The 17,405-nt window shown below is 53.2% G+C and overlaps 1 protein-coding gene, 1 long non-coding RNA gene and 1 other non-coding gene across 8 annotated transcripts in view, besides 3 other annotated features; 1 reads left to right on the forward strand and 2 right to left on the reverse strand.

Moving 5' to 3' along the window:
• Positions 1-5,206, reverse strand: part of FOXF2-DT (FOXF2 divergent transcript) — a 67,585-nt gene extending 62,379 nt beyond the window's left edge. For 3 of the 6 annotated variants that reach the window (NR_187218.1, NR_199825.1, NR_189292.1), the window contains exon 1: positions 3,166-3,608. This is a non-coding gene — a long non-coding RNA (FOXF2 divergent transcript). Of the gene's footprint in view, positions 1-3,165; positions 3,609-4,228; positions 4,687-5,138 lie in introns of those variants that run through there. The other 3 variants (NR_189294.1, NR_189293.1, NR_189295.1) reach the window with 3 other exon arrangements.
• Positions 3,723-9,750, forward strand: FOXF2 (forkhead box F2). The gene is made up of 2 exons (NM_001452.2): positions 3,723-5,265; positions 8,843-9,750. The coding sequence occupies exons 1-2, from the start codon at positions 4,095-4,097 to the stop codon at positions 9,004-9,006; spliced, it is 1,335 nt and encodes a 444-aa protein (NP_001443.1). The 5' UTR covers positions 3,723-4,094; the 3' UTR covers positions 9,007-9,750.
• Positions 4,461-4,558, reverse strand: MIR6720 (microRNA 6720). Its single transcript, NR_106778.1, has one exon. It is a non-coding gene; the product is annotated as a microRNA 6720 (primary transcript).
• Positions 4,905-5,770: an enhancer, noted in NCBI's record as "H3K27ac-H3K4me1 hESC enhancer chr6:1390993-1391858 (GRCh37/hg19 assembly coordinates)". NCBI's record gives its function as "activates a minimal SCP1, AML or CMV promoter by ChIP-STARR-seq in naive H9 embryonic stem cells {active_cell/tissue: H9 hESC(naive)}" and the evidence as "EXISTENCE:reporter gene assay evidence [ECO:0000049][PMID:30033119]".
• Positions 14,181-14,682: an enhancer, noted in NCBI's record as "H3K4me1 hESC enhancer chr6:1400269-1400770 (GRCh37/hg19 assembly coordinates)". NCBI's record gives its function as "activates a minimal SCP1, AML or CMV promoter by ChIP-STARR-seq in naive H9 embryonic stem cells {active_cell/tissue: H9 hESC(naive)}" and the evidence as "EXISTENCE:reporter gene assay evidence [ECO:0000049][PMID:30033119]".
• Positions 16,031-16,180: a silencer, noted in NCBI's record as "fragment chr6:1402119-1402268 (GRCh37/hg19 assembly coordinates)". NCBI's record gives its function as "represses an EF-1alpha promoter that drives an FKBP-Casp9 reporter gene in an ReSE screen in both phorbol 12-myristate 13-acetate-treated (for megakaryocytic differentiation) and untreated K562 erythroleukemia cells {active_cell/tissue: K562 | K562(+PMA)}" and the evidence as "EXISTENCE:reporter gene assay evidence [ECO:0000049][PMID:32094911]".

The following is a 17,405-nucleotide window of genomic DNA, read 5'->3' on the forward strand; positions in this document are numbered from 1 at the left end:
CAGCCCAGACGGGACAGTCAACCAAAGCGGGATGGAGAGAGGACCCATCGCGGCGGAGGCTGCATAGTTTTGGTTAACCAAGGACTGCCTGGGCTGATCTAGACTCATTTATATGAACCATACCTTCCCTTCCCGTAAGAAAAAAAATGTCAAGATTCATGTTATTTATAGGGAGTGAAAGTGAGTGAAGAGCTCACCCCCATAAGAAGGAACCCCAGTAGGGGGGTGGGGGAGCCATCCTAAGCAAGGCTCTGTTTCAGAGACAAACACAGCTTTCCTTTTAAACCCTGTCTGCTAACCAGAAATTAAGGTATTCCTCCCAGGGATACAGAAATTGACATAATTTGCTATCACATACATTCTTACTCAAGAGATTTGTATATATCAGTGATTAAAACAAAGCTCAGAGAGGCTTTGCTGTAATGCAGTGGAAGGAACACTGACTTTGGAGTTCCAGGCCCAGGCTGCTGGCCAGCTTTGTCACTTGCCCCAGCGTGACTTGTAGCCAGTCACCCAGTCTCTGAGCCTTAGTTTCCTCACCTCAAAAGGAGGATGATGATACCTGGGCCACTTGGTGGGTGACAAGATGGTACCTGCGAGGTCTGTAACAAACAGATGCAGGGTTTAGTCACTGTAGACGTGGTGGTGGTCTATGCCATGAGAATAGTTTCCAGAAGCAGAAGTGGGGTATCCAAGAAAGAGTTTTGGAGAGGAGCCTTCCTGCTGATATAACTTAAGAAGGCCCCCAAGCTGCTTATCTTTCTGGAGTTCAGGGTCTACAGGGGCAGTATGCAGACCCCTACAGAGAGGGAAGGCTTCCAGTCAGCTGACCGCCTCCTGGCCCTAACTGCTCTCCAATGTCCACTGCCTTCCCACGACCTGGCCGGCCCTCATAACACTCACCACACTCTAAGTGGGATTTCTTGCAAGTTTAGAGTTTAGGTAAAATGGATACTGCTGTTGCTTGGATGGAGAAAGGAGCCTTTTAAAAAAATCCCTCATAATTTAACCAGCTGAATTGGTAGAAGCTAAAAGAATCTGGGGTTTTTTGCTTGTTTCCTTGTTTGTTTTAATGAGTACCTGTGGACTTCCTAAAATCTCAGGCAAGTTGGAAGTATTTTTCTGGAAACTGGCTCCATAGCTTCCATCGTATTCTCAGAGGATGACCCCATAACCCCAAAACTGGGAGCTACTAGTATAGAAGGTTATCACTGGTCCTGCCTGGATTTTAAGGTTAGCGCCTTTTATTCTTCAGTCTCCGGGTCCTAAAACCTTTTAAGGCCTGCTCTTAACAAGTTGGATCTGTATTCCCTGAGATCCAAATACATATAATTTTCAGGCACAGAGAATCAGAGAGAGTCCATGGCTAAGTGACAATGAGTACTGAATGTTTCCAAAGCCCGTTGCCCACCGCCCCCACCTACAAATGAGATAATTGTCCTTTTCCCCCACAAGCTTCTCCCCTGGGCTCTTTCCATTTAAAGCACACACACACACACACACACACACACACACACACTGAACTCTATGTCAGTAGAGCTCCTTTAAGATCCTATCTGTCCTCCCCACTCCAGCTTCTATTTTATGAAAATAATTATATTTTAGGCACTTAGAGCATTGGTTTAGTGAACACATTATATTTACTTTCATATTTAGTTATGTATTTTTAAGTTATTCCACACAAAATGACAAATGAGGGCAAGAGAAAAAAATACCATGAAATATATGGGGACGCACCCCCCAAAAACGCTCAGCAGTCAGTCAGAAATTCTTAGAAAGTGGAAACAACTGCGAAGCCCTACCCCAACCCAATCAAAACATCCCACCCGGAAAAGAGCGACTTGTTTCTTTTTTCTATTGGAAATGAGTGGTAAACTGAGTTCGGTTTGGCGGTGTTTTCTTAGCTGACTCTCGGCTACAATCAAGCCATTTTCGGACACATTCCCATGTAGGTACCAGGGGTGCTCTGGAGGAAGCTGTCGACGCCTGTTCAGCTAATTTAGGTTTTCTTTGTCTAATTACTGTGGAGCTTAGGGAGAAGGAGCCGGCTCAGGGCAGTAAACTGACACTCGGTCTCTGTGTGTGGTATCCAGGCAGGGTTTGATGGAAAAAGCCTGCTTCCACTCAACCTCAGGTCACTGTCTGGGGCCAGCCCCGGCCCACCCCCCTCCCACATACCCCTCCCCTCCCCACCCGCCCTCTCTGCATCTACAGCCCCACCAGCACACTCAGCCAGGAGCAGTCCCCCGGCACTCCAGGGGCACACAGGGCTCCTGCCGCCCCAGGGGGCCTGCCTAGGCTGTGCGGCTGTGAAGGCTCTTTGCCTGGTGTCTTCCTCCTGATTACTGCACAACCTCCCTTTCTCCTGCCTCCTGCAACTCCCCAGGCTCCCCAGCAGGCACACCCGTGCACCTCGGTCCTTTCAGCCTAGACGCAGCGGGGTGCCCAGCTCTACCTCCTGTTTGGTCCGCTGGTCTGCAGCACCTTCTTTCTGGGCCTCCCCCTTCAGCCCTTGGGAGGCCCCGCCAGCTCCGGCCTCCTGCTCTCCTCCTCCCTCTCCCAGCTCCTATCCCTGGTCGGACTACATTTCCCTGCACGTGTAATCCAATAACTAACTGTCGGGTCTCATTGGAAGTGATTGCTCCCGAGGGCACATCTCTCTCAGAGCCTGACTCTTACTTAGGGAGGAATTAGCCACAACTGGGGAGAAGTGTTCTCGGACAGGAGTTAGCTGAGACCTGGCACAGTTTTGGGTGGGCAATGTTAAGACGGAGGATGTAAACCTAGTGACAGCTGCACACCCCTTCAGGACTGACTATAAATATAGCCATCTCGCTTATCTCAGGGTCTTTCTTTTTCTTTCTCTTTCTTTCTTTTCTTCCTTCCTTCCTTTTTCTTTTGCACTTTTTTCTTACAGAACACTAACTGGGGTGCGGGGGTGGGGGGAAGAAGTGGAAGCAAATGCAACCCTAAGTCCCATGAGATCCAGGTTTCCAGAGTCTTTGAAACTTGGCCTAGGTTTCTCAGTGTAAATCCCTCTGCTCAAAGTTCCGAAAACGTCCACGATCGCCAGCGGCCCGCAACCCTGCGGCGGCCCCCAGTCGCCCTAACAATTGTCGGGGAGCCTGCAGGCCCTGCCAGAAAGAGAGAGGATTGGCACGTTACCTTTGGGCGTCTGGCACCCCGGCGTGTGGCTGAGGGCGGCAAAGTCTAAACGAAGTTGACAGATGGAGTCAGTATCGGCCCTGGGGAGGGCGGCCAGGGAGGCTCCGAGCAGCCGCACCCGCAGCAGCACCACTCGGCCCGGCGGGCCAGGAGGAGGAAGGGGGCGCGGAGGGGCGGGGCTGGGTCCTGGGATGGGACGCGGGGCTTGCTGCGGGGGGCAAACAGAAAGAATATTTCATGAAGTCAGAGGTGGTCGAGTTTTGCGAGGGGTGGGGGTCGTCCCCCTGGCAGAACCGGAGTGAGTCTGTGATCCCTCAATTGGAAAGAGGGTGAGTGAGGGAAAGGGGAGGAGGCCGCGAGAGGAATGAAGAGCGAGGAGACCCTGGAGAGCGGGGAGCGAGATAAGAGAGGGAGGCGGCCGCCAGGTCGGGAGGGGGAGGAGTGAGCGCGGCGGCGCGGAGCGAGGAGGGGGCAGGGCGGGGTGGGGGGGGAGGGAGGGAGGGAGGGAGCGAGGAGGGCGGCCGGGGAGGGCGAGGGAGGGAGGAAGTCCGAGAGACAGAGCGAGGAGCGCTCCTGAAGGGAGACGTCGGGCTCGTCCCCGGGGTCCAGGCCGCGGTCCCACTCGCGGGCGCAGTCGCCCGGCGCCGGCCGCTCGGCCCCGCGGCCTGGGAGGCCGTTGCGCAAGGCAGGGCCCGCGGCTCGGGGAGGGATGCGCCGGGCGTTGCCTCCCGCCCGCCGCCGCCGCCGCCGCCAGAAGCCCCAGAGGAGCTGAGGGAGGCGACGCCGAAGCGCTGGCCCGGAGTGGCCACGGCTGCAGCCCGGGCGGCGGGCTAGGGCGCTCGCAGGGCTTCTGGGCCGACCCCGCTCCGGCGCCTCCGCTTCCCGCCCGGGGCCCGCCCTCGCGGCCCGGCCTCGCTCCCGGGTCCCAGATGACCACCGAGGGCGGGCCGCCGCCGGCCCCGCTCCGCCGCGCGTGCAGCCCGGTCCCCGGCGCGCTCCAGGCCGCCCTGATGAGCCCGCCGCCCGCCGCCGCCGCCGCCGCCGCCGCCGCCCCGGAGACCACCTCCTCCTCCTCGTCGTCGTCCTCCGCCTCCTGCGCCTCGTCCTCGTCCTCCTCCAATTCGGCCAGCGCCCCCTCGGCTGCCTGCAAGAGCGCGGGCGGCGGCGGCGCGGGCGCCGGGAGCGGGGGCGCCAAGAAGGCGAGCTCGGGGCTGCGGCGGCCCGAGAAGCCGCCCTACTCGTACATCGCGCTCATCGTCATGGCCATCCAGAGCTCGCCCAGCAAGCGCCTGACGCTCAGCGAGATCTACCAGTTCCTGCAGGCGCGCTTCCCCTTCTTCCGCGGCGCCTACCAGGGCTGGAAGAACTCGGTGCGCCACAATCTCTCGCTCAACGAGTGCTTCATCAAGCTGCCTAAGGGCCTCGGGCGGCCCGGCAAGGGCCACTACTGGACCATCGACCCGGCCAGCGAGTTCATGTTCGAGGAGGGCTCGTTCCGCCGCCGGCCGCGCGGCTTCAGGCGGAAGTGCCAGGCGCTCAAGCCCATGTACCACCGCGTGGTGAGCGGCTTGGGCTTCGGGGCGTCGCTGCTGCCCCAGGGCTTCGACTTCCAGGCGCCCCCGTCGGCGCCGCTCGGCTGCCACAGCCAGGGCGGCTACGGCGGCCTCGACATGATGCCCGCGGGCTACGACGCCGGCGCGGGCGCCCCCAGCCACGCGCACCCTCACCACCACCACCACCACCACGTCCCGCACATGTCGCCCAACCCGGGTTCCACCTACATGGCCAGCTGCCCGGTGCCCGCGGGACCCGGGGGCGTCGGTGCGGCCGGGGGCGGCGGCGGCGGCGACTACGGGCCGGACAGCAGCAGCAGCCCGGTACCCTCGTCCCCGGCCATGGCGAGCGCCATCGAATGCCACTCGCCCTACACGAGCCCTGCGGCGCACTGGAGCTCGCCTGGCGCCTCGCCTTACCTCAAGCAGCCGCCTGCCCTGACGCCCAGCAGCAACCCCGCCGCCTCGGCAGGCCTGCACTCCAGCATGTCCTCCTACTCGCTGGAGCAGAGCTACTTGCACCAGAACGCTCGCGAGGACCTCTCAGGTAACGCAGCACGCTCCAGCCCAGCCAGCTGGGCGCACCGCTTCTAGGCCTCCAGGGCTGGCGGCCACTGCCACTCCCACAAACAGGGACCCCGAAGCTAGGAGGTCTGAGGGCACTGGGAAAAGCAGATGCTGGGGAAAGCCGGCATCTTATTCGTGGGAGCAGGGATCAGGGTCTTACTGTCCTCCCAGTATCCCTGGCCAGCAGCCGAAGCTTCAGAATTGTCTGGCTGCTGTGAGCGTGGTGTAAAGTCCCCTGCCTTCCTGGGCTCTTTGGGGATCCCTGTGCAGGAGACTGCAGGTCTCCCGTTCAGAGTCTCACTTAGCTTGGAGAGAAGGCATCTGGCCTTTGGGGAACTTGGTCAGGAAGCTGTGTCTAGTTCCTTTTGTCCCTTTTTTTCCTTGCGTTCATTTTGCTGTACTTCTGTCCCGAAGTAAATGTCAGAATCAGATATGTTCTGTATGTTGGGGTGTCTGCAGCGAGATGTTTGCAGCTGGGCAAGTGTTAAGAGGAGGGGGTGGGAGGGACAGAGCTGGATCCCAGGATCTTTCACTAAAGGGACATTTGCCAGTGGAGGGGGTCACCAAACTGTTGGAGACTCCTCCCCTTCCCTGCCTCCCCCCCCGCCCAACAATGGACCCACATTGATGATACAGGTCCTGGGTGGCAGGACCTGAAGGACCCTGCTAGGACTCCCCTGAGAAATGCGCCTGCCCTGTGGATGCCACTTGTAGTGTGGCTGGTTTACATTGTTCTGGTTGCAGATTATGAAAAATTATTGACTTGCTGAAGGCGGTGAAAGGTGGGAGGGGACGGTAGGGATGGAAGAGGGAATTTGAATATTTGACCAGGTTAATGTGAAGAACAGAGATAAACCCTTACATTAACCCCTCGCTCGGAGCACCTAGGGCTGCAGATTAAAATCCCATGGGCCTGCCAGTCAAAGGCAAGGCCCCAAGCTACTCTCTCACACTGGCCTCCCACAGCAATGAGACAGTGGCTTGGAGGGTGATGCATGCTTTATGTGTTCCTGAGCCGGTGTGCAGCGGGAGCACCCGGGGAGAAGGAAAGCCCAGAAATGGGCAAAAGATGTTGGTTCCCTGGACGGTGAAATTTCCCAAATAGGCCTTTTAAATGTGGGTCTCAGAGGTTAACCAAACAAAGACAGTCTCGGCAGGACCACACCGGAGAGGATTTTAGCCTGACTTAACCCACTGAGAACAGAGTCTTGTTCAATTTTATGGGAATTTCAACAAGTAACCAATACAGGCGGCCTTCCCCTCTTATTTTTGTATTCCCTTGGACCGGCTGTCAATCACACACACACACACACACACACACACACACACACACACACACCCCTCGGTGCACTGGCCCCTTCCCTTCCCCGCCTGCCTGCTCCTCTCCCAGCCTGCCAGCTGCCCTCCCTGCTCCCCTTCTTCTCCTCTCCCGGCAGATCCACTCAACTTGAACCCGGACTCTGAGGCTTAGCAGCCTTGGAGAAACCGTACTCTAGGAAGAAAAAAAAGCACACAGGAAAGAGACTCCTGACCCTTCCTCAAGGCTGCTCTCGCCCCACCTCATAACACTGGGCGCAGGCACAAGCTCCCAAAACTTCGGAATCTGGATACATTACTGTCTTGGAGGGGGTGAAAACTGCCCAGCAAAGCAAGCCGGCCTCTGTGCCCCTACCCAGCGGCCTCCCGCGGCCGGCCTTCCCTGGGAGCCTCGCAGAACCCCCGACCGAGTCTGGGAACGCCCGGGGGAGACAATAGCTCGGGCCTGACGCCCGACAGGGACCCTCTGCCCTTCCTTCCTCGCTGTCTTGCTCCCGTCCCTATAGGATACCCACCCGGCCCTGTTGCCATCTCCCTGGAGCGCCAGCGGTGGAGGCTTCGGAGGAGCCGGCCGGATGCACCGGGACCCCGCGGGGCCTAGTTGGGAGCGCGCCGCCCACTGAGGCCTGGGGGCCCGGCGAGGCGCGGGGGTGGCCAAGGCAGTCTCCCCGGCACACAGATCAGCACATGTCTACGCGCACACACCCAGCACGACCCTCCCTCCCCCAGCACACCCCAAGGGCCGCGCCCTCCGCTCCTGGGCCTGGTGGCCATGGTCCATGTGCCCCTGCCGGCGCAGGGGCTGCCCTGGAGTTCTCCATTAAGCCCTGCGAGCACTTCAGGAAGGAGCTCGGGCTTCTGTCATCCCGCTCAGCACATCAAAGCGCCGACGGCCGCCTTCGTGGGCAGGTGTGAGCGCTCGCCCTCTCTCCTCCCGAGCCTGCTATTTTGTGGTCCAGGACTTGCCATCAGAACTTGCTTTAACGCGACGAGGGAACTCACCTGTGTGCAGAGCGCCGCGCACACATCGGGGCTCGCGGGACAGGGCAGCTGCGTTAGCGCAGCGCCGGGTGTGTTCGGGTAGGTGTTGCGGGCAAGGAAGTAGGCAGCGGCCCCTGAGCAGCCGCCTCGCTCCGGCATTGCGGGGACACGGCGGGGCTGAGGCCACGAGAGCAGGGCCCGAGCCCGGCGGGCCGTGGTTACGGTTTTCTTGCACTGAAAAACTGAATCCGGCCCGAAGCGACGTGCACTTTATGGTCCCCACACCACTCGGTTAACTAAGAAAAGACCCGGGCGAATGGACCTAACGCAGCCCGGTGCCGAGAGGGCCCGGTCCAGCAGCCTCTGGGGCCCAGTGCGCAGGGCACTGCGGGCCGATTGCGCCCCGGGGCCAGGAGGCGCCGAGAAAGCAAAAGCAAAAGCCGGCGGCGGGTGGAGGTCAAGCGGCCCGGTGCAGGCCGGGGACCGGGGAGCCGCCCCGGGAGAGCAGGGTCCAGGCCTTCTCTGTCCCCCTCCAGCCTGGGGCTACCTCAGGGACTCCTCGCGCTGCCAGATGCTTCGGACCAAAGGGCATTTCTCTGCGCCCTGAAGTCCCGGCTTCTCTAGAGGAAGTCTAAGACGTTCGGGACCCACGAAGATGCCTGCGGAGGGGCAGGAGAAGAGGCGTGCTTTTCTGCCCCATCCCTTCATCTTGCGATTGGGTTGTTTTCTATCGTCCCCTTTGGCACAGGGAGTCCTCTGCGCTCGCTGCTGTGACCGGCCCAGTTAGTTGGGAAACAAGGCTCAGAAAGAAGGCCGCAGTGGTGTTTCTGGGGTAGGGTGCTTGGCCCTCCCTGAAGCCAGGGCTCAGGGCAGCACAGGCCAGGAGCTCTGCCGGGAGAGACCCGGAACCAGAGTCTGGGTCTAGTTGTCCGGTACCTGTGCTCATTCTGAGATTAAAGTGCACGCCCCAGCCTCAGAGAATAAAATTGGAATTCCAGGACATAAGAATCCCCCTCGAGGGGGAACTTGCTCTGTGTTTGTGCGAGCATCAAAACAAAACATAATGATTCCAAAGCAATTCTATGACGTGCAGTTGGTGTGTTTGAGCTACTTCTAAAGCTGGGCTTTCTCTACCAGCTGTCTAGCAATTTACTAAAAGGCACAGCAGCACCTTTTGTACTCTGAGGCAAAATAAGACACCCTGCCATCCACTGGATGACTTTGTTTCTGAAGAGGTTTTTTTTTCTTTCTTCTTTCAGTGGGACTGCCCCGTTACCAGCATCACTCTACTCCAGTGTGTGACAGAAAAGATTTCGTCCTCAACTTCAATGGGATTTCTTCTTTCCATCCCTCAGCTAGCGGGTCGTATTATCACCATCACCACCAGAGCGTCTGTCAGGATATTAAGCCCTGCGTCATGTGAACGGAAAGAGGCCAAGCGATGGCCGCTCTCTCCTCTCCCCTCCTCAGAGGGGGCAGATAGAAACTGGGACGGATTCAAGTCACATGCACGCGGATAGCAGTAAGCCACACACCTGCCACTTAGCCAGAATGCCCAGGATCGCGTTGGTCACTGTTATTTGCCTACTGCTGGAAGAAGGACAACCGCTGGCAAGGTAGCGTTCCCCAATCTGAATACCTGCAGGCTCCCACATGAGGGAGAGGGCAGACTCAGGTGGGAAGATGTGCCATGCGTAAGGCATCAACGTGTATCTGTGGGATCTTCGTTGCCTTCAGTAATCAGGGTGTGAAAAAAGCAGACAAGTTGTGTGTGTGTGTGTGTGTCTAAGAAAACTTGTGTGCTTTTCAAAAAGGCAGTGCTAAGCACAAGATTTCAAGAAAGCCTCTTCTTGTTGCCTAGCTGAGTGGGAGAGTCATTTTCCCCAGACACTACATTTGGATACAGGTGCCAAAGAACATTATTAAGGAATTATTTAGAAACAATGTGTCTAGTTTAAGAAAGTGGTTTTCAGTATTGTGACAATACAACGTTTTTACAAGGTTGTTTTCTACCACCATATTTTAAAGATATTTTTATGACCGTGTATACTCACACTTTGCTTGTATTTTAAAAGGAGGATATATTTGCACTTATGTATACTTTTACAGTTTGCCAAAATATTTTGTTGTAAAATTTTTTTTCAATAAAATGTATATAACAAATAGTTGTTTTAGGGGCTGATTTTCTCTTCGGGCACCCTGAGAGCAATGGATGCCAGTTTCTCCTCCCCGGCAGGCAGCTGTGCAACTCTACCCACACCCCCTCCAGTGGTGTAACTGACATGGTGTGGGGTCTGTGCCTTGAGTAACACAGGCCAGGTTCTGATTGTGAGTCTTCTCAGGAGAAAAACAGTGGAAGAAACGTTTTCTGTTATTTCTTTCTTTACTTCACCCCAGCTTTTTCTGGCAAAACAAAAACCAGAAGGTGAAAGGAACTAGAAAGAAAACCAGGCAAGATACCGACCAGGGTTTGATTTTGAGGAAACCAATTTTGTGCCCCTTCTGTTTTCTTTCCTGTGCCCGGGGAGTGTTCTGCCCTTTGCCCTCTCTCCCTCCCGACTGGCATGGGTTGACAGATGTGGGGCACAGTGGTAAGCCCCCCTCCAGGGTTGGATGCCCAAAGAACAGCACCCTGCTTCTTCCCTTTGCACGTTGCAATTTTGTTATGGGTGGCGGTCACATGCTGTCAGAAATGGGGTTCAGATCTGAAGAATGCAGGGGGATCCCTGAGCTGCAGGGGGCAGGCTCCCAGCAGGGGGTTTAACTTCCTTGGGGAGTTTAATACAGAAGCTGGACTCCCCACACGTTGCTCTGTGGCTGCGGCCTGTCCCACCCTCCAATTCAGAGCCTGGCTGGCCCTGCTCAGCATCGGCACATAGCAAGCCGGTTCAGCCCTTCCTTCCTCCCGGCCTCCTCTCCCCACTCCTCCCTTTTAACCAGGGATTTAACAAGGGAACCCCTCAGCCCCTTTTTCTGTTCCTGCTAGATTTCCCAGTCACCAGTGTTACAGGCAGAGCTGGTGACGCTCCCGATGGAAGAGCAAAATGGGCCAACTAGGCAGGAGGACTGACCTTCTGTCCCAGCAGCCCTTCACCATCACGAGCCATGTTGGGGACAATGGGTCTGAGAGAAGCAGAGAAATTATCTGCTCCAATCATGCTGTGCATTTTCCTCTCCAATTCAGGGCTGGAGTTTTGTTTTTGTTTTTTGCTTTTTCTTTCTTGATTGGAAAACTCACCTTTGTTTCTTATCCCTTAAAAGGTCTTTCTCCCAGTCAGTCACCAGACTCTTGGTATTCGTAGGGAACTGTTTCACACCCCAGGGTTTTTGTATTCTAAGTGAATTTCACTGCAAAGAGCGTCTCCTGAGTGAAACATCTTGTTTCCGAAAGTCTTAACCATCTTTCTAATCTTTAGGTTTCCTTCCTATATCTTCTAAAATTAAGAAGTGATTTAAACATTTTTTGTCTCTCCATTATCATATTTGCAGTTAAATAAGGCCTTTTTATTTTCTTTTATAGTGAGCTACTCGGGGGCCTGCTATAAATTATGAAGTCAGTTTCAGAGTTTGCTCCGACCACAGTGCTGTGTTTACATTCCTTCCGAGGCAGCCGGCATGGTCGTAATTTATATCCTAAACACTTGAACGTAACTTGTTTATACAGAGAATGACAGGACCTCAAAGACGAAAACTGCGTCTGCCTGCCTGGCCGCATTGGGAGGCCCAGCGCGCCCCCTGGTGGCGCGAGGAGATCCGCCCAAGGCGACTCAATGATTCCTTCAAGCTGCGCAAGAACTTGACAAAATGACCCGTTTTGTGGTGCCTTCCAATAGAGACATTTTTAAGTATCTCACTTTCATAAGTTATGGTTTCCAGTTTTAGGAAATACTTTGCTTTCTTCTTTCTTCTTCTTCCTTTTTTTTTTTTTTTTTGAGACAGGGTCGTGGTCTGTTGCCCAGGCTGGAGTGCAATGGCACGATCTCAGCTCACTGCAGCCTCCACCGCCTGGACTCAAGTGATCCTCCCGCCTCAGCCTCCTGAGTAGCTGGGACCACAGGCACGCACCACCATGCCTGGCTAATTTTTTAATTTTTGTAGAGACGGGGTCTTGCCTCGTTGCCCAGGCGTGGGCTTTTTTCTATTTTACTCTTTTCGCCTACTGTCTCATCCTGAAACCAGATCACAATTCAGTAAGAACAGGCCTGACCATGCTCAGCAGATGCTAAAGCCCTGACTTGCTACGTATATTCTTCATTTCTACATTTCTCCCCAAATAAGGCTGTTGTTTTGTTTCCTTTTGAGTCAAAATTGTTTCTCTCCTAACTGTCCCTCAAAGACACACACGTACACATAGACTCATTTATATTCACCCTTTTTTTTTTTTTTTTGGAGAAACATGCAGTGCTTGGCTTTAAAAGTTGCTCAAATGTTAGTGATTAAATTGAAAAAAAGTGCTACACCTTTATAAGTGAAAATAAATGAACTAACTCAACTAGGGATAAATACCTCAACTGTTTTTTCGTCAAATGGATTTTGAACTTAGGTTTTCTGCTCATTGGCGGAATAAAGTGGTATATTAAAAGATTTTATTGTTTTCTATAATAATTATTGTTTTTTGTTGGTTTCATTGGAGCTGTATACATAAAGACAAGACCAGGGAACTACTAAGCATCATGCATCAAGTGCTGGGCACCGTGGCTGTCTTACCAAATCTCACACGGCTATCTTACTTAATTCTGTCAATATCCCTCTGAGGTGCTGATATTGACCTTATTTACAGATCTGTACTAGCTCCTGACTAGGTCATGACTTTGGGGGGTTTGACCCATGTCTTCTGATTTCAGTTTATTTCCCTCGTTTCTCCAACACTGCCTCTAAGAATTTTGCAACTGACACTGCAGATCTTTGAGTGGCAGGAATATTCCCTCTGAAGCAGCAGTTCTCACACTTGAGTGCACATCAGAATCACCTGGAGGGCTTGTTCAACACAGGCTGTGGGTCCACCCCACCCTCCATTTCTGATTCAGTGGGTCCAAGGTTGTGTTCAAAGATGTGTATTCCTAATAAACTAATAAAAGAAGGTGATGCTGATAATGTTGGTCCTGGGACCACACTCTGAAAACTGCAGCTCTTGAAAGGCAGTTTCGATTACAGATCTTTTTATAGGTTCCAATGGATAGGTATTAAGGATAGCCTATTAATTGGTTAAGCAAAGATCTGGAAAGGTTTTTCAAATAGTTTGTCCATCTAAATGCCTCTGTGATTGATTATGGGCCCCTAGGAAAATGCAAGGCTTAATTTTGAACCCTAGGCCAGAAAGTAGGATCTCCCCATTTTTATTCAAAGCAATGAGGCCTCTTGTTTTATTGTAGTAAACATTGCAGAGAGGAGTCAGATGGAATCATTGAAGTCTACCTGCCTCAGTGGAACAATAAGTCTAGGTACTTGCACACAGCAGCCAGTCAGAATTCTACAAACAGAAGGAGGCAGTAATGGGAGCAGACAGGAAAAGAAACTCCATTATTGGTTATAAAACCTTTTGAGGGTAGAACAGAGAAAAGGCAAAGAAGGGGGGCTGTGATCTCAGAGGATAGCAATAGTGATCCCTAGATATGAATGGGTAGGCAGAACCGTGGGTGAAGAAGGGAGAGAGACAGAGAGAGGAAAAGGGAGAGAAAGGAAGAGAAAGAGAGAGATGGAGACAGAGAAGAAGGAGGGGAAAGAGGAAGATAGTCAAAAAGAGGGAAAGAGGAAGAGAAAGGAAGAGAGAGGGAGAGAAGAGAGGAAGAGAGACACATAGAGAAGGAAAGGGAAAAGAAACGGAGAAGAAAGAGAGGGAGGGAGGGAGAGAGGGAGATAGGAAGGGAGTGAGATGGGGTAAGAGAGAGACAAAGAAAGAAGAGAGACTGGGAGAGAAAGAGAGATACACAGAGAAAGAGAGAGGAAGGGCAAAGATGGGTGGAGGGTGTGGGAAGAAAGGAGGAGGAGGAAGGAGGGAGAGAGACAGAGGGAGAGAAAGGGTGGAGGAGGAGGAGGAGAGGGAAGCAGGGGGAGGGAGGTAAGGAGGGAAAGAGGTCTGGAGAGGAGGAGTCTGCAGACATTTCCTGAGCTCCTGTCCCTGGAGCTGAGAGGCAGCCCTGGAAGCTGGATTCCTGTCCTCTGAGGCCACCATTCTCTCTCCAGGTCCCCAGTGCCAACCCACGAGCTGAAAGACCCATGGACTTCTGTTTTACTTGGCTTGGCCTGAATTCTGGGGAAGTAAGTGAATTCTCTAGTTGTGCATGATCAAATTTTCTGAACTGCCACAGCGACTTATACAGAATTAGGGAGAACAATCTTGACTTAGATTTTAGAAAGTGGAAGTCCGATTTCTGGGGAAAATCTTCAGGTCCCTAGGATAGGCCACGGTATGGCATTAAAGGGAATTAGCAGCTCCTTCCCAAAAGAAACACTCTCTTTGTAGATTCGTATTATACCTAATTACTCTGCATCATGGTGATTAATTCAAAACAGGCACTGACTTACTTAGAATGGAAATATATTTTAATATATTTTATCCGAACGGAAATACATTTTACCAAACCTGCCTCTATGAAACACTATCTTAGCAAGAAAAAACACCACAAATGTAGACATGGCCAGGGAGGGCCAGGGCACACAGACGTCAAGGTCATTGGGGAAAAAATGAAAGTCCTGGAAGTTCTTTTTGAGTTCAGAGTGCCCCAAGTCCACAGCAATCCAACTGATAAATATTCATCTCTCCATGTCCTGGGGGACGTGTGTGAGATACGGAGCCTTGGCCATCCCACGGCTGCATCGCCAGGCCTGTGGGCTTAACTGTATTCACGAGAGCACAGACGGAGCGGACAGCGGGACAGCTTTCCCTCCGAAGGGCCCATTCCACCCTCCAGCCTGGCAACGGAGGCTCGGTCACAGCCGGGCAGTGACTCGTCTGCCGGGTGGCACGGCCTCACCTCCCCAAACTGGCAGAGCACCTCCCCCTCAGATTTGGAAACCGCTGTGAGTTAGGTGGAGTCCAAGCCTGGAGTGTGGGGAGAGGAAGACCTGCCTCCTCGCTCCTCCTTCAGCAGCTCCACGCAGCACAGAGCGGAAGTGTCGGTAGACCGTGTTGATTGACTGACTGGGCCCCAGCGCGCCGTGTGCTAATCCCCGCTAAGAGCTGTTCTTCAAGGAGGGGAGGAACTGGACCTGCTGTCAGAACAGAATTGCTTAGCTGGGTTGAGACACAGGGAACCAGGCCAGGATCTGGCATCTCAATAGGGATTCCAAAGACACCAGGTCCGCTGACGGACTCACTCTGGATGACACACTTGCTCACAGCCTGAGTGAGTGCACAGTAGCCCAGCAAGCTCCAGGGGGAAAAAAAAACCCCCTGCGGCCGTCCCGTGGCCCATCCGGCCAGTTCACACAGTCACCTGGGGTAGGCCGAGGTGTACTTTAACAGCTCCCTGGATACAGCCGACAGGTCTGTGGGAAAATGTCCGACCTCTCTATTCATCAGGAAATGCAAATGAAAACACAGTGAGATACCACCTCACACACATCTGAATGGCTTTTATCAAAAAGACAAAAAGTAAATAAGTATTAGCGAGGATGTGGGGGAAAAGGAACCCTTGCGCACGGTTGGCGGGAATGTAAATTAGCACCGCCATTTTGGAAAACAGTATGGCAGCTTCTCTGTAGACTAAAAATGGAACTGCCAGAGGCTCCAGCAGCCCCCCTTCTGGAGGACGCTCCATAGGAGCTGAAATCAGTATGCGGAAGAGATGTCTGCTCTTCCAGGTTCACTGCAGCGGTGTTCACAACAGCCAAGAAATGCAATCAACCTATGTGCCCATCAACTGATGAACAGATTTTTAGAATTCCCTGTACATACAATGGAATATGACAGTGGTTCCCAATTATTTTGGCACCAGGGGCCGGGTTCATGAAAGATAATTTTTCCACAGACGGGGCAGAGGAGTCAGGGACCCCTGGAATACGGCATAGCCTTAAAAAAGAAGAAAATTCTGTCATTTGAGACCACATGGATGGAACCAGAGAACTTAAGGCTAAGTGAAATAAGCCAGCCACAGAAAGACAACTACCACATGATCTGACTTATATGGAGAATCCAAGAGTCGATCTCATAGAAACTGAGTAGAAAAGTGGTTACCAGAGGCTGGGGGAGAAGAAGGGATGGGGAAAGGGGAAAGGGGAGGTATTGACCATAGGGCACGTCTCAGGTAGACTGCAGGGGTAGGTTTTAGTGATCTATTGTGTGCCATGGTGACCGCAGTTAATAGTAATAATAATGTATGCTAAAGGAATAGATTCTTCACATTCTCACCACAAAAAAACGGGAAGTCGGTGAGGTGATGGTGTTAGCTTGATTGACTCTTTCTACAATGTATACGTAGCTCAAAACATCCCATCGTACCTGATAAATACACAAAATTATTTGTCAATTAAAAATTAAAAAGAAAAAAGCTCCCCTGGTTCTTCTAATGCTCAGGCCATGCTGCTGGAGAGCAGGATTGCGTTTACAGTCGCCCTCATTCCAGGACAGCCGTCTACAGGTGGGGAAGCTATGGCCACAGCCGCATTCTCCTAGCTGTCAGGCAAGCCTTCTACACCCCAGTACACTCGAGCAGACTCCCCAACTCACCCCAGACCCTAACAGCGAGCTTTCTGGATGGGCCTGGGGCGGCAGGGGCTTCTGGGGCTCCCTAGGTGACGGCTGCTCTAGATCCATCTCCCTCAAGCTGGGAGCAGACGCTGAACCCCTAGACTCTGCAGAGGAGGGACGCACAGCCCAGCAGGCACCAGGCATAGCTCCACATTAATCAGTTACTCAGGCCTTTTTCTAAGAGAGAGAGCCGAGCATGAGGGCAGGAGCTCAAGGAGGGAGGGACACAGAAAAGGAAAGGCACGGACACGCCACGGCAGGATGAGGCTGTGGGAACTCAGGTCACAGGGACATGTCCCTTTGCGCCTTGGACGTCTGGTGCAGCCGAGCCGCCTGGCCTTACCTGCCCAGGGCCTCTTCCAAGGGCAGCTGTCAATATGCTCCTTGGCATGATGGCAAAGGCTGTTCACAGCCCTGTGCTCTAAGATACAGTAGTCCAGCAGTAAGGGCCACGCCGGGGCCGCCCGCAGGACCGGGAGAGGACAAAGCCAAGGACGCCCGGGGCTCCAGGCCAAGCACAGGGAAGCCACGGCCTAAAGAAAACACACAGAGAGACGTACACACACTCACACACACACAGACACACACTCATATACACATACTCAGAGACACACATAGACACACACAGACACACACATAGAGACATAGACACACATAGACACAAACACACAGACACATTCATATACACACAGACACATACACACTCACATAGAAACACACAGACACACACTCACAGACACACACATACAGACACACAGACATAGACACACACAGACATGCACACAGATACACAGACACACACATACTCATACACACAGACAAACACACACACATAGACACACGCACACAGACACACAGACATAGACACAGAGACATGGGCACACACACAGAGACATAGACACAGACACACACACAGACATAGACACACATAGTCACATGCACACACATACACACACACTCACAGACACACACAAACACATAGACACAAATACATAGACACACACACACATTCACATAGACACACACAGACACAAACACATAGACACAGACATAGACACGCATACACACACACATAGACACACACAGAGACACACATAGATGCACAGACTCACATAGTGACTCACAAACACAGA

The sequence above is a fragment of the Homo sapiens genome, chromosome 6 (genome assembly GCF_000001405.40).
Source record: "Homo sapiens chromosome 6, GRCh38.p14 Primary Assembly".
Taxonomy (NCBI): domain Eukaryota; kingdom Metazoa; phylum Chordata; class Mammalia; order Primates; family Hominidae; genus Homo; species Homo sapiens.

Excerpts from the sequence above, each read along its gene's own strand:
- FOXF2 (NM_001452.2), top strand. The coding sequence starts at position 4,095 with ATGACCACCGAGGGCGGGCCGCCGCCGGCCCCGCTCCGCCGCGCGTGC. Across the intron at positions 5,266-8,842 it reads CGCTCGCGAGGACCTCTCAG|TGGGACTGCCCCGTTACCAG; the intron begins GTAACGCAGCAC and ends TTCTTCTTTCAG.